A 15,867-nucleotide genomic window follows, 5' to 3' on the forward strand; every position below is an offset into this window, starting at 1 on the left:
GGCATCCCAAAGTGCTGGGATTACAGGTGTGAGCCACCATGCCCGGCTGAGTACAAATGTTTTTAACAGCTCCATCAGTAACTCTGATGTGCATCCAGGGCTGAGAACCCTTAGTCAAGAGAATCACTGCATTCTGCCAAGTTCTACCAGTATGTGTATGAAAACAAGAAATCACAAGCATGCTACCTATACCTCCATCCTCTTATAAACATTTATTGAACATGTCATTTCCATTTTATAGCTACGTTTATGTAATGACACCATCGATTGGGTTGAATGACAGAGAAAAGGCAACTGATATAGTGGCAATATCACCAGCTTCTGCACACTTATTTGTAAAGAATTTCTCACTGTTTATCTTGCCTATGACAATTCCAGATTATTGTTCAAGACCTTACCCTGCCACAAATCCTTTAGCCCTGCACAAGCAGGTTAACTTCTCTAATCCTAATTTGGCTCATTCACAATTAGTTGATTAATATCAAAGGAAATTGCACACGTGATTCTAAGATTCTGTGATCATTTTCTTATTTCATAGAATATGATCTGATGGAAAATAAAAACCTAATTTATTTCAGGCTTATAAAGCATTATTTTTACTTTTATTTGATCTTCATGTTTAAAAAGGCCAGTGATTGATGACTTTGTTGTGTTCCCGTCTTCTTATAACACATCCCTGATCTGCAGAGGAATTATCAGAAGCTGAGATTTAAAACTGAGATCCTCTTACACCACAAATCTCACTGCCTGGCTGGGAACCCAGTGCTTTGGGAGCCTGAAGTGAAAATTTGCAAGTATACAAACAAGAACTTGCCCATGGTATTTAGCTTAAACCTTTACATACCCCCAGACAGCAGCAGAGCTGGTAGCAGATGGGAAATCATTCATTGGGTCATCATTTATGCATTCTGTTTTCCATTCAATCATTCCACACACATATTCCAACATATACTAGGTACTGATTTCGGCACTAGGGTATGTGTTTGGAATGAGACAGATGCCATGTAGGCCTTCATGGAGCATTTCAGTTAGCCATAAGGAAGAATTCACTCAGTTTTTCAAATGGAATTCCACTGATGCCTAACGGCCATGAGTTCTCTAGGGGATTTTTAGATTTTATGTGTCCATTTTAATGATTATCTAAAAACCAAAAAAAAAAATCATATTGTGAACCATCTGGAAGATATCCTAATAACCAAGGATGTGATTTTAGGGCCTGCATTTTGGTTTTCATTATGGCCACTTTGGCACCACATATTACTAATTTATTGCTATTGGCTGAGAAGAAAATAAATGGAGTAGGTCTTATTTGTAGGGAATGCAGTGTGTCTACATGACAGCCAAATGAAGTAAAAATAAGGGCTGTACCATTATCTGAATGGAGATAGGCAGTGGGGGTCCTGTTATCACATGGCTTATGACAGAGTAGAGATGCTGTGCTCAGGAGACCTTGTGCCAGAGACCTTGGTACCACATTCATATGATTTAGTTTAAGGCAAATCATCCTTTGTAGTACTTTGTTATTTTCCAGTTTGAGTGATAGGCATTTTCTAGCTTTATTTATATTTAATTTTAAAATTTGTTTTGGTTTTAGAATTGGATAGAAGTGATATGTTTACCTACATTTGTGTTGACAATTAGTAATTCTAGTATAAAGATAATTTGTGTCAACAGCAGGGACTTGGAAAACCTTCCTTATTCTAAAGGGCATCAACGTATTACTTTATAATATATTGACAAATCCTTTTCTAATTTCTCTCTCTCTACTGTGCTTAGCATTTAACTAGTTCATCCTCTCATTAGCCTACGAGCTAATGTTCACATTTTACTTGACTTTGACCCTCCTTTATGTTTCTTAAATAAGTTGCCTGATAACGGTTAGAATTGCCTAACTCACAAAGACTAACTCAGGGGGTAGTTAGGTATTTACTAGACTATCACTTGCTGAAGATTCCCAAATCAAGTGGGGTTCCAGCTGTGTGTCTGTAAGGACCCCCCTTTTAAATCTGAAATAGAGGAGCAGTCAAAGCTGCCACGGTTGCCACTGACTGGCAATACAGAATGATAGTGTTCAAAATTTTTTAACCACCCCCCCAAATAAATTGCCTGAATAATATTTTTATATTACTAAGGTGAACTGCTGGGGTTACCTTATTTTCTTCAGTAATTCTAAATTTTTCCTTCGGTTTGGTAGATCTTTGAGCATCTCCCCCACAAAGATGTTGGAATTCTGAGTCATTTGGAAAATGGCCTCCTAGGAGTCCCTTTCCACCCATTATGTGTGTGACTGTGGCTGTATCAGTGCACATCAGAAGTCATGGCTGTGTTAAATGAGAAGCCTCAAGCTAGCATCCAGAGAAGTCACTTTTGTCCAGAGGAAACAGATTTTTAGAGTTGTCAGAGGGTATAAAAGTAGACAGCAGCCAGCCATATCTCTTCATCAGTTGATTTTTTTTTCCTTTATTTTTTTTCTCTTCTCTCAGCGGTTTAATGTGAGTGCTTCTCTCTTGCCTCGTTTATTTCAGATGCCTCAGGAGCAGTACACTCACCACCGGAGCACCATGCCTGGCTCTGTGGGGCCACAGGTATACAAGGTGGGGATTTATGGCTGGCGGAAACGATGCCTGTATTTCTTTGTCCTGCTCCTCATGATTTTAATACTGGTGAACTTGGCCATGACCATCTGGATTCTCAAAGTCATGAACTTCACAATTGTAAGTAAAACCATCTAGGTTTGTTTAGCTTTCTTCCGGGAGGGGAAGCGTGGGGCAAGATGATGAAGGAATGTGGAAAAGTGATATTATTACAGTAGGACTCAAAAAATCTGTAACCTCGTGTTTTGGTGAAAGAGCATTTCTGTTCAGATTGAATATGGATATTGACTTCTATCTAATCTCAGTTCTTCGGGGGCTAATACTCCAACTTAAAGATATTTCCCTCCTTTAGAATCTCCTGTATGTTATCCCTCCATTTTGATAACTGTTTCTGTAGCCTGTAGCTTTCAAGCACTTTGATTAAATAATTAAGCAATAGAGAATAAATTCAAAGTATTAAGTTTTCAGCAAGTGTAGTGATTATAAAAGGTTTTTTGAAGTAGAGAGTTGAAACATTTGAGTAAAATTATACTGTGAGCATTATCTATCTAAAAATTTTAACTATTTATGCTTGATTATCCATCACTCTGGTTAGTTAAGAATATCCTGGGTTTTTCGGAGGACGATCCTCTTTGCCACTAGTCTGGGTAAGATGGAAATTAGAGGAATGTAGCTGTGTTTCATTTTTTTTTTTAAGAATTGATGTTTATGTTTCTTCAATGAAACTTTTGCTATTGGTGTTTGGGGTCCCTGTACAGACTGGACATTTACTGTTGTAGTTCAAATGAAAAGAAAATCCTGAAAAATGACTTTTGGAGTTATTTAGAGGTTTTATACCTAGAAATTCTGATCTATACTAGTAATGTAAGTAGTCTAGCTCATTAATGAGGAAATACTGGGCAGCAGTCTGCTGTATTGAGCATAATTTCCTTTCTTGTTCTGATGTCAAAAGTGAGTAATATAGATTGGCAATAAAAATAACTCCTAGGTCAGGCACATTGGCTCATGCTTAAATTCCAGGACTTTGGGAGGCTGAGTTGGGAGGATCACTTGAGTCCAGGAGTTCAAGATCAGCCTGGGAAACATAGCAAGACCCGATCTTTGCAACCAAGCAAACAAACAAAAACCAAAAAACAAATAACAAACCAAGAAACAAACCAAATAACAAATACCAAAACCCTCTTGTTTGATAAATAAACATGACCTTTACAAAGTAACAGTAAAATTTTCATGTGACAATCCCAAATATCATAGTGGATATTTGCATTTTCTAAATTACAAAGTTCATTTTTATCCTTGACATCCTATGCATAGTCACACTTTCTTGCCTTTGCTTGTACATTTTCTTCTGCTTGGAGTGCTTTTCTCTGTCTTCCCTGTCTGGTAAAACTTGTCTTGCTACTCCTGTAGTTCCATTTATGTATCTCTTATTATATTTACCACTCCAGATAATAATTTTTACATGTATTTCCCAGACAAACTGAACTTTGAGAAAGGCAAAGGCTGCATCTTTTCTGTGAATGGCTTTGTCCATCACTCATGCTAGGGCTTCTTGGTGCTTGACTTAATTAGCACTCTATAAACCAAGGTTACAGATACTGCTTCAGGCCTCAGAATGGCTCACTTTTTAATATTTGTGGTAACAGGAAACCATAAAAACAAAAATATTACCTTGATGTTACAAATTTCTATCTTGAGAAAATAATTCAGTTCTTTCTAAAAAAATTTTTCTTTCTTTATATATGTATTTATTTATGTATAGGCAGGGTCTCACTTTTTCACAGACGCTGTAGGACAGTGGTACGATCATAGCTCACTGCAGCCATGGACTCCTGGGCTCAAGCAATCCTCCCATTTCAATCCCTCAAGTAGATAGAACTAGAGACACACACCATCATGCTTGACTAATTTTTAAATTGTTTGTAGAGATGGGTGTCTCACTGTGTGGCCCAAGCTGGTCTCAAACTCCTGACCTCAAGCAGTTCTCCTACCTCAGCCTCTGACAGTGCTGGGATTAGAAGCATGAGACATCACATCCAGCTAAGAGTTCAGTTCTTTTGAAAAATGCAGAAAATCTATATTGCAGTAGTAACTTTGGAAGATTATATGGTCAGTTTCCATGGGGTTGTAGGCATCCAAGGTAATAGTTCTAGAGTATTAGAGCACATTAGCTTCCATTTCTGAATTAGACTCAATCAATACTTCTCAACTTGGGCTTTACTTTATTTTTTTATTTTTTTTATTTTTTTATTTTTTGTGAGACGGAGTCTTGCTGTGTCACCCAGGCTAGAGTGCAGTGGCACAATCTCGGCTCACTGCCAGCTCCACCTCCCGGGTTCAAGCCATTCTCCTGCCTCAGCCTCCCGAGTAGCTGGGACTACAGGTGCGCACCACCACGCCCAGCTAATTTTTTGTATTTTTAGTAGAGATGGGGTTTCACTGTGTTAGCAAGGATGGTCTCGATCTCCTGACCTCGTAATCCACCCATCTCGGCCTCCCAAAGTGCTGGGATTACAGGCGTGAGCCACCGTGCCTGGCCTGGACTTTACTTTCTTTAAAGACAAGCAGAATTCAGAGAAATGTTTAATCAGGAGAGCAAGATATAATCAGATTTACATTCTAGAGAGCTTGCCTAGGTGATGAAGCAATAGAATGGGGAAAGTTTGTTAGAGCTGAGGGCTCTGGAGGATGCCTTGGGTCCATTTGGCCTTAAGTCCCAGTGACCACAATTGCCATCTGTCGATGTGCATGTTCTGTGATGTTGTTAATTTGTATTTCAAAAACTTATAAATTAGTAAAACTTCTCTGTTGCAATATTAAACAGGAGAATACTGAAGCTAGGGCAGTAGTATGGACCTTGCATTTAAAGACATTTAAAAGATGGAATTGATATACCTTGACTTCTGGTTGGATGTAGGGTTGAGGGATCAGAAGACATTTTGGAAGATTTCTGGTTTTAGGATGGTGAGATGGCTGGGTGGTGGGTCCTAAAAAGCAAAATAGAATTTATTACTTTTCCACTAGAACTTGGCTAGTACTCATGTATACCTTTAGTCCCCTATTTGAAGCTATCCTCTTAATCCCTTATTTTTGTGATTTTTACCAAGACTGTCACAAATTTAATTTGTAGAACCTGTAAGATTTAGGGGTAGAGGAAGTGGAAAATATGAGCTGAAACTTTGATAACTGTGATATTATACCAATACTGCTTCTAGAGTATGTTTTATCTGGAAGACTTAATAGAAGTATATGTAAATGTATATTGAGTACCACTTATATGACATTAAGGTAATAATCTATATGAAATCGGCTCTTTCCTGCAGTTAACTAAATTGATTGCCAAAATTGAGAGTCCTTAAAGCTTTACCAAACTTACTGAGATAAGAATAATGCTGTTATTAGGCATAATTGGTACTTTATAGCCAATAATGCATTTGAGCAAATAGAACTGAAGTGTTAGAAAATTGGTCTTGCCCTGCAAGTTAAAAGCATATTTTCCATCAATCATGGTATAAAGGATATTCTTTTAGAATTATAATTCTCTTGCACAAATAAAAATTTACTGACAGTGGAGATCGTGGGGAAAGAATGAGGTATTAAGCACTGTTACGTTGGAGAAAGAGAAAAAAATCAATGAGATGGCAGTAAAGCAGTTTATGCAGAGATTTAAAAATATATGTAGGGGAAGTCCTAGCCAGAGCAATCAAGAAAGAGAAAGAAATAAAGGGCATCCAAATTGGGAAAGAGGAAGTCAAACTGTCTCTGTTTGCCGATTACATGAGCATATACCTAGAAAACTCTAAAGGCTCCTCCAAAAGACTCCTAGATCTGATAAACTAAATTCAGTAAAGTCTCAGGTTACAAAATCAATGTACACAAATGAGCAGCACTGCTATATACCAACAATGGCCAAGCTGAGAAATTAAGCACTCAATCTCTTTTATAATAGCTACAAAAATTTTAAATACCTAGGAAGATACTTAAGCAAGGAGGTAAAAGATCTCTACAAGGAGAAATACAAAACACTACTAAAAGAAATCGTGGAAGACACAAACAAATGGAAAACCATCCCATGCTCATGAATTGAATGACTCATTATCATGAAAATGACCATAGTGCCCAAAGCAATCTACAGAGTCAATGTACTTCCTATCAAAATATCAATGTCGTTTTTCACAGAATTAGAAAAAACATTTCTAAAATTCATATGGAACCAAAAAGAGTCCAAATGGCCAAAGTAATTCTAAGCAAAAAGATCAAATCTGAAGGCATCACATTACCGGACTTCAAATTATACTACAAGGCTATAGTAACCAAAACAGCATAATACTGCTATAAAAGTAGACACATTGACCAATGGAACCGAAGAGAGAACCGAGAAATAAAACCTAATATTTAAAATCAGCTGATCTTTTACAAAGTATACAAAAACATAAATTGGAGAAAGGACACTCTAATAAGTGATGCTGGGAAAATTGGATAGCTACACGAAGAATAATGAAACTGGATCCTTGTCTCTCACTGTATTGAAAAAGTTAACTCAAGATGGATGAAAGACTTAAAGACCTGAAAACTTCTAGAACATAAAAATTCTAGAAAGAAAAACCTAGGAAAAGCACTTCTGGATGTTGGCCTAGGCAAATAATTTATGACTAAGACCACAAAAACAAATGGAACAAAAACAAAAATAAATAAATGGAACCTAATTAAACTAAAAAGCTTCCGCACAGTAAAAGAAATAGTAATCAGAATTAACAACCTATGAAGTGGGAGAAAAAATTTGCAATTATGCATCTGACAAAACGACTAATATTCAGAATCGATAAGGAACTCTAAACAAGAAAAAAAAACAGGTGATCTCATTAAAAAGTGGGCAAATGGCATGAATAGAAATTTCTCAAAAGAATTGATATAAATGGCCAAGAAACATAAAAAAAGTACAACAGATCTAATCATTAGAGAAATGCAAATTAAAACCACAATGAGATACCACCTTACCCAAAGCAGAATGGCTATTAATAAAAATTAAAAAAAATAGATGTTGGTTTGGATGTGGTGAAGAAGGAATATTTATATACTGCTGATGGGAATGTAAATTAGTACAATGTCTATAGAAAACAGTTTGGAGATTTTTCAAAGACATCAAAGTAGACCTACCATTTGATCCAGTAATCTCACTGCTGGGTAACTACCCAAAAGAAAAAAGTCATTATGTCAAAAAGAGACCTGCATATGTATATTTTTTTTGCAGCACATTTCACAACTGCAAAGATATGGAACCAACCTAAGTCCCCATGAACAGGTGAGTGGATAAGGAAAATGTGATATACATACACCATCAGCCATAAAAAAGAATGAAATAATGGCTTTTACAGCAAGTTGTATGGAACCAGAGGCCATTTTTCTAAGTGATGTGACTCAGGAATCAAAAATCTGATACCACATGTTCTTTTTGATAAGTGGGAGCTAAGCTAAGGGTATGCACAGGCATATAGAGTGGTATAATGGACATTGGAGACTCAGAAGAGGAGAGGGTGGGAAGGGGATGATGAAGGATGAAAAACTACCTGTTGGGTAGAGTATACAGTACTCGGTGGTGGGTACACTAAAATTCCAGAGGTTACCACTATATTATTGATCCATGTAACCAAAAACCACTTGTATCTCTAAAGCTATTGAGGAAAAAAAATTATATATATATATATATGTACACACACACATATACCCACACATTTATGTAGGAAAGAGTGATTATTTTGTATGTTTGGTTTGTTCAACAATTTGAGATTTGGGAAAGCTCACACTGTAATCAAACCCCCTGTGTAATGACGAACTATAAGAACGATGTCATCTGAAAGTGTTTGTGAAACCTTGGTGATCTATCCAAGATTGAAAATCTGGAATTTTACTTTTTTTGTCAGTCTTGCATTCTGTGCTATCCCCAAGGATACATGCTGGAAGAGCCTTTCCAGTAAAGCAATCTGGACAAGCATCTTACCAAGTTTTCTTTGTCTCAGAGGTAAATCAGAAGAAAAGTTATTTTGCTTTCTTCTGCTCTTAGCAGAATATTCCAGTATTCATTACTGGCAGGAGATTGAGACTACATATTTCATTTTCCCCATACATTGGAGAGTGTGTGTTTTACCTACACTGTAAACACCCACAAATAGACCTTAGTTTATCACACATTGTGCTTATACAAACGAGCTAATATTTATTAAATGTCTCTTCTGTGCTACTCACTGTACATGGCCCTTAAAATCTTTTAACTTTCATAACTCTACAAATTTAATATTGTTATTCCCACTGAAAACCCAAGGCTCAGAGAAGTTGAGTGACTTGCTGAAAGACAGCTAGTAAGTAAAACGCTGGTGTTTGACTTCCTGTCTCAACCTTTCCACTACACTTTACCTCCTCCTCCAAATTGCAATAATGATCTGGCTCTTCAACAGAATTCTGAAGCTGGAAAAATAGCTTGTTATCTTTGCCAACCCTGTGTCATAGGTCACTTTCATCTGAGGTATCCAGTGACGTTTTATGTTTAGAGTAGTTCCCTGGTAGTTCCGAATGTTTGGTTTTTATCTAATTTCTCTTTGCTGTGTAGCTGAGGACCTTCTCCTTGCATTGTTCCCACCTTGTGTTTTGTCCATTTGATGTGTTAACATAAGCATTTAGTATAAACTTAATATCTACCCATAGGTTGGTGGAAGACCCAGTGAGTTAATTCATGTGAAGCATTATTAGCAGAATCTGACACATAGGAAGAGTCAGTGTTGACAACAGAAAGTCATGAGAGACCCTTCATGACAGTATAGTAGTTCAGGGCTCAAACTCTGGAGACAGATGTTCTAAGTAAAAATCTGGATTCTGTCTCTTACTATGTGATTTTTGATAAGTTTCTCAACCTCCCTGTGCTGCCATTTCCTAGGAGTAATGACAATACCTACCTCCTAGGATTGTTGTAAAGATTAGAGGAGGTGATAAATGCATTGTTTAGTGCTTGGCACATAGTAAACACTTTATAGAAGTGTTTGCTATCGTCGTAGTCATCATCATCATCATCATCATCATCATCATCATCATCATCATTTACTGCAGGCTTATTCTCTGCCAGGCACTACACTGTCGCAGTTACAGTTTGCAAATATTATCTAACTTAATCATTATCCAGGCTGCCACTATTTGGATACCAATTTTACAAGGGAGGGAGTGGCTCAATAACTTGAGATCAAACAGCTATAAAGCCTCAGAGTAGAGATTCGAACCCAAGCAGTCTGACTATGGATCCTGGTCTGTTGGCTAGTTTGTCATATTGTGGGGCAGTGCATAATGCCATGAGTGTCAGAAACTGGATTCCCAGCCCTAACTGGCCATGAACTACATTGCCTTTCTCTTCTGGAACCCAGTATACCACTAAATGCATTGGACTAGATGTCATCTCGGGCATCTTCCTGTTTGCACACTGATTTTTGTCATTTTATATTTCCCTAGGCTGTATGAAGTCTCATTCTAATAGAGAGCTGTTACTTTTGCTAGTGCATTCTACCAGCCCAATCAGAATAACCTGGCCTCAAAGACCTTCCAAAATACTGTAGTATTGATCATGTAGACAATCATTTAGCACAAGTGGTTATTAAGTGACAAAACTACAAAAGGCTTAGGAGTCATCAGTGGATGGCATGATATCTTATCCCAGTACTTGTAAAATTAGATGAAATAGGAACCTTAGGAGTCACCTCATCAGACATCCTTATTCTACAGATGTTGGAACCAAAGTAGATAGCAAAGTTTTCTGACCAGCTTGAGCACCCCAGCTGCTCTGGAAACTTCTCTCAGTAGCAGGGATTATTCTCTATACATTTTTGTAGCCCTGCTCAATGCCTGCTATTCAGTAGGCTTTCAACATGTGTTAACTGTAGATTGCCTTTTGCAGACCACACAAAGGAGATAATGGATATCAAGTATCTGATCATGTTGCTGACATGGTAGGACCTCAGTAAATGATAGCTACCTATACCTGTAGTATATAGATCTCCTGATTTCTATTTTAGTTTCTATTCGTTAACATTACAAAATCCAAACTGTTGTCACTTGTGATCATGTAAGAAATGAATTTCCATTTATTTCATAAAAACTCATACAGGATTAACTTTATAAGGTTTTCACATGATGCACATAAGAACCCTATGAGCTAAGCACCCTTGTTATCCACATTTGACAGAGGAGGAAGTGGAGGCTCCAAGAAGTGCAGTAACTTGCCCAAGGTCACACAGTCAGTGAATGATGAAACTGGGATGGGTTGCAGGGAGTCTGGCTCTACAGTCACTGCTCTTCTTCAGTACACAATGCTGCCCATTTTCCAAGGGCTATTTTTCATGAAGACAAGTTGAATTTGTTCAGTGCAATGTCTAAAACATGGTTTATTTACCCTGAAGTAAGATAAAGATCCACTGAGGGTCAGAGGAAGGCATTCTAATGCTTGTAAATTGGACACATTGTAAAACAGTAAAAGCCAGAGAGAACAGCCAGCATGTTCCATAACTCAGGACCCTGACACATCATCTGTTTTGAGTAAGCTCAAGGAACTGCGACCCAGTCAAACTAACTCAAGTTGAGGGGAGTGAGGATACATATAAAGTACATGGCAGACACTTAGAATATGTTTATTGAATAAATGAAAGGGAGAAAATTATGAATAGGCAGTCACTTTAAATTAAAATGTATAAAGATGGGTTAATAGAGCTTTATATGACTTCTAAAATGAAGTATTAGTTGATTTATTAAGGTAGATCATAAATGAGATGAGTGCTTGAATTTGATTATGAAAAGGTATTTTTAATACAGACACTCGCTCTGTGTATCAACTACCTGCTACATTTTAATTACATGAGAAAAGAAGGGTAATGATGGAGTGTGAAATAGATTAAAGGTAGGAGACTTCATCCTAGCTAATATACAGATTTGCTTAGTAAATGGGTGAAAGTGATATTATTGGCATTAGTTATACTTTTCATTTAACACTGTTAATATATTGTGAGTTTGAGTAGCATCCGCTTCAATGCGGGTGCCAGCTTAGCTTGGGGACTTGGAAGTGCTTCCTCTACTGAGAAAATCATGCTTCCATCTCTCAGTGCTTTGACTGTGTGGTCACTTTTAATCCATTAGCTCAATCCATCCATCTGAAAAATGGCCAAAATGTTGTTTTTTAAAAGCACCATAAAAATTGTAATGCAGAAAAACAAAAAACAAAAATTTATTTTTATTCCATGGTCAGTCCTAGGATATGGCTCTCTAATGTCCTATTTGGTTTGAAACTTCCTGTGTTTTATACCTTTGTGAGAATGTAAAGCATCAGGGATGATTTGGGTATCATAATTACTGCAAATAACATGAATCAAAGCTGCTGTAAAGTTATACAATCTATTGGGCATATCTGCTTCAATTGAATCAGTATTTCTTAAGCACACAGTTGAGTATACTATGCTTTGTGTAGAAACTAAAGATTAGAATAAAACAATTCTATACTTTAAGTACTCATAATTTACTAGGGAAGAAAACACATGTATAATTTTAGTACTTTCCACAAATTAAATGTTTTAAAGAAGTATGAAAGTTGCGGAAAGAATAAATTAGCTAAAGTTAGAGGGCACTGGAAGGCTTCTTGAGTTGTGTCACCAAGGATGGATAAGGCCTTTTGTGTGGTGGTGGAAGCAGAGAAAGCAGTGTGATTATAGTCTGGAAGCTGGTAAGTTAAACTTGATTGGGGAGCCTCAGGCATAATGGTTCTAGTATTGAGAGCTTAGGCCACTGGAGGGGAAAGAGGGGATGGGGAAAGATGAGAATAGGAGCTGACATGAGTAAAGTCAAAAAGGCTGCAAATTATAGACTTTGGAGAGGTCAAACTGAAAAGCTTGAATTCCAATTATAAAGAAATTACTGTGCAACTTTATCCTATTATTTGGACAATATTCGTGACCTTTTCCACTTACGAGAGTTTTCATACAACTAAAGTTATTTTTATGTCCTAGAATTGAGAGGAACAATGTTAGAAAATCTTCCTGGAAATATTTTTTGTCTTTGTATATCACACATAGCCATTCACACATGGAAACTTCAGTTCTTACTGGTCATGTTGCTGTGAGCTCTGAATAACTCTCAGAAATCTGAACTTGTGGCCACATCACAAGGATCTGTTCATGCTGACTGAGTTATTAAGCAATCATAGAAGAGAAGCAGCAAATCCCAAGGGCTTGCTGCCACTGAGAACCTGCAGGTCAGTCCTTCCATGGTAGACAGGGGTGGGGTTAGGTGATTCAAACTGTAGAAAGAACCAGTAAATATGAGTTGGTTTCCCATCAGTTGGTTTGCCTGAGAATCATTAGTTAAGATTTCTAGGTTCAGAGTTGTTTGTAAATGATCTTTCTAGAATGACACTGTCTATTAAGGATTTAAAATTAACATTGAAGATGTCTATTTAGTCACACTTGTCATGTCACAATGTTCAACAGCTACACCTGGCTAGTAGCTGCCATCTTAGAGCAGATACAGTTTATTTCCATCATCACAGGAAGTTCTTTGTTTCAAAACTGGTCCAAAATCTAATGTCCTACTTCTTAGCTACATCTTGGATGGCATGGTAAGGCCTGTGAACCAAAAAGTTCTTTGTGCCTCACCATACAACAATTTTTGCCTTTCCTTCCTGTGCCCCAGGCACTTTCCAAGACCCAGAGCTGTGGGATTAAGGTAGGAAAACAAACCAAAACCATTTTAATATAAAAAGGAGAAGAAAATTTCTCATAATCTGATTAACAGCCAAGATAACTACTATGTTTTTTAATCAGCTTTGTACCTTTTCCACACATTCATTCTGTCTCATTTCTTCCTTTCAATATTCTTAATTGGAAAAGTTCTGAGACTGTGCTAGATTTTTCATCTTGCCTGGGAGGAGCAAGGTGGACTTTTGTTGGGTGAAGAGCTGTATTCAGGAAGGAGTTGCAGGGACTGTTTCTGAGCCATATTCTCCCAACTTGTAAAATATACAGTTGGATCAGATGATACATAAGGTCCAACACCCTCAAATAATTTTTGTTTTTCTGTGAGACAGAGTCTGACTGTGTTGCCTAGGCTGGAGTGCAATGGTGTGATCCCAGCTCACTCCAAAGTCCGCCTCCCAGGTTCAAGCGATTGTTGTGCCTCAGCCTCCTGAGTAGCTGGGATTACAGGCATGTGCCACCACGCCTGGCTAATTTTTGTATTTTTAATAGGGATGGGGTTTCGCCATGCTGGCCAGGCTGGTCTTGAATTCCTGAACTCAAGTGATTTGCCTGCCTCGGCCTCACATAATTTCTGTGTGTGATCACTGGGTCCTCCATATTCCCTGACCCAGAATGAGAAAGATGGACATCTTTTTTCTTCTAGAAGTGTGAGGGTGTGAGTGTGTATGTTTGCTTACTCTGTATCTGCTTAGCCAAAGATCCAATATATTAAGTGCCAGGGAGTATATCTTATGTGCCTTTATAAATTTCTAATCTTCATTCATTTAATTACTTAATGAATAATTGGTCTGATTATCTATTGCTACACAACAAACTACCCCAAAACTTAGTGGCTTAATAAAACAGCAATAATTTGTTTTACTCATGATTCTGCAGATTGGGCAGAGCTCAGGGGAGATGGCTTGTCTCTTTTCCCTGATGTCTAGCACCTTAGCTGGGAGACTCAAAGGCCTGGGGTATCTCAACAGCTGGGACTGGAATTATCTCCAGGTGTGTTTACTTACATGTGTGGGTGGTTGATGCTAGCTGTCAGCTGGAACCTCAGCTGGCCAGAACGCCTACACACAGCTCTTCCCTATGGGCTAACTTGGGCTTGCCCTTAACGTGGTTGCTAAACTCTAGAATATATGTTCCATTTAAAGAAGATGGAAGTGCATAGCATTGTTATGAACCAGACTCAGAAGTCAGATTGCATCACTTCCACTCTACTCTGCTGTAGGCAGACACAAAGTCCTGCCTAAATTCAAGTAGAGGGCATATGGGCTCCACTTCTTCATGGGGGAATTGCAAAGTTCTAGAGGAGTACGTGGGATGGGAGATTGTAATGGATTGAATAGTGCCCCCCTACATTATATGCTCCTAATCCTTGGAGCCTGTGAGTGTTACCTTATTTGGAAAAAGGGTCTCATCTAAATTAAGGATTATGAGATGAGGAGATAATTCCTGGATTACCCAGGTGGGCCCTCAATTCAATGACAAGTGTCCTCATAACGATGAGGCAGAGGAAAATTTGACACAGAAGAGGAGGAGGCAATATGATCAGAGAAGCAGAGGTTGGCATGATAGGACCGCCAATTAAGGAAAGTTGATAGCCACTAGAATTGGGAAGAGACAAGGGATAGATTTTCGTCTAGAGCCTCCAGAGGGCTTGGAATTCTGGCTTCTAGAACTTTGAGAAAATTTATATTGTTTTAAGCTGAGAGTTTTGTGATAATTTGTCATGGTAGCCACAGGAAACTGATACACAGATACTGCTATGGCCATTTTAGGAAAAGTACAATCTGTGCAACAGTACCGCCACCATCAATGCTATTAAGCGTGCAGTCACCACACCTGTATTGAACATTGTTTGAACAATGTTAAGTGCCTGGCTTTGTTTTCTCTTACTCCTCACAATGACCCTGTGAATGGGGACTATTATCTCCTCTTTCTATGTAAAGAAACTGAAGCATAGAAGGCTTAATTCACCTGTCCAACCTTTTTAGCTAGTGGGTAGCCAGGTCAATATATAAACCAAGATATGTCTAACTTCAAAGCTTATGCTTTTAATTTTCTCTGAAAACATTTAGTGTCAAAAAGGAAAATGAATGTCTTATAAACAGTAATGAATTTACTTGTATAATGTTCAGTGGCAATGGTGGTCATTGTATAGCTAGGGTCAATGAGGAATGGGCATTTTAAAATGACTTCAGTATTGGCTCAGCCATTGTCGACTCAAGCGGTTTTATTCTCATGAAAAATTTTAAGGGGTCATACTAACTACATAGCTTGTATTTATGTTAGAAGAATCATAATTTTGTTGCTTTTCAGTTACTTTTGTGCTTCACTCAGTTACATGTAAACTGCTTGTTGCTTTGATAAATAAAGTTAAAGAATAGGCAAACAGTTCTCAGTAGTAGGGCAGCCTTTCTGTTTATTGTAGAAACCTCACTGAATGCTTGTGTAGATAAAAATTATGCATTTTGACCGGCTTTTAATTACCAGCCAGCTTTATTAAG

General features: G+C 37.7%; 1 protein-coding gene and 1 long non-coding RNA gene across 10 annotated transcripts in view; one reads left to right on the forward strand and one right to left on the reverse strand.

The window, feature by feature from the left end:
- SGCD (sarcoglycan delta) overlaps positions 1 to 15,867 on the forward strand; it is a 1,039,957-nt gene that overhangs the window by 614,132 nt on the left and 409,958 nt on the right. For all 9 annotated transcript variants that reach the window (XM_047417519.1, XM_047417518.1, XM_017009724.2 and 6 more), the window contains one exon: positions 2,526 to 2,714. In XM_047417519.1, the coding sequence (XP_047273475.1) occupies positions 2,526 to 2,714 (189 nt within the window). The remainder of the gene's footprint in view (positions 1 to 2,525; positions 2,715 to 15,867) is intronic.
- Positions 1 to 15,867, reverse strand: part of LOC124901120 (uncharacterized) — an 85,782-nt gene that overhangs the window by 51,476 nt on the left and 18,439 nt on the right. The window contains exon 2 of the long non-coding RNA XR_007059016.1: positions 5,490 to 5,581. This is a non-coding gene — a long non-coding RNA (uncharacterized LOC124901120). The remainder of the gene's footprint in view (positions 1 to 5,489; positions 5,582 to 15,867) is intronic.

Source organism: Homo sapiens, chromosome 5 (assembly GCF_000001405.40).
Source record: "Homo sapiens chromosome 5, GRCh38.p14 Primary Assembly".
NCBI lineage: Eukaryota > Metazoa > Chordata > Mammalia > Primates > Hominidae > Homo > Homo sapiens.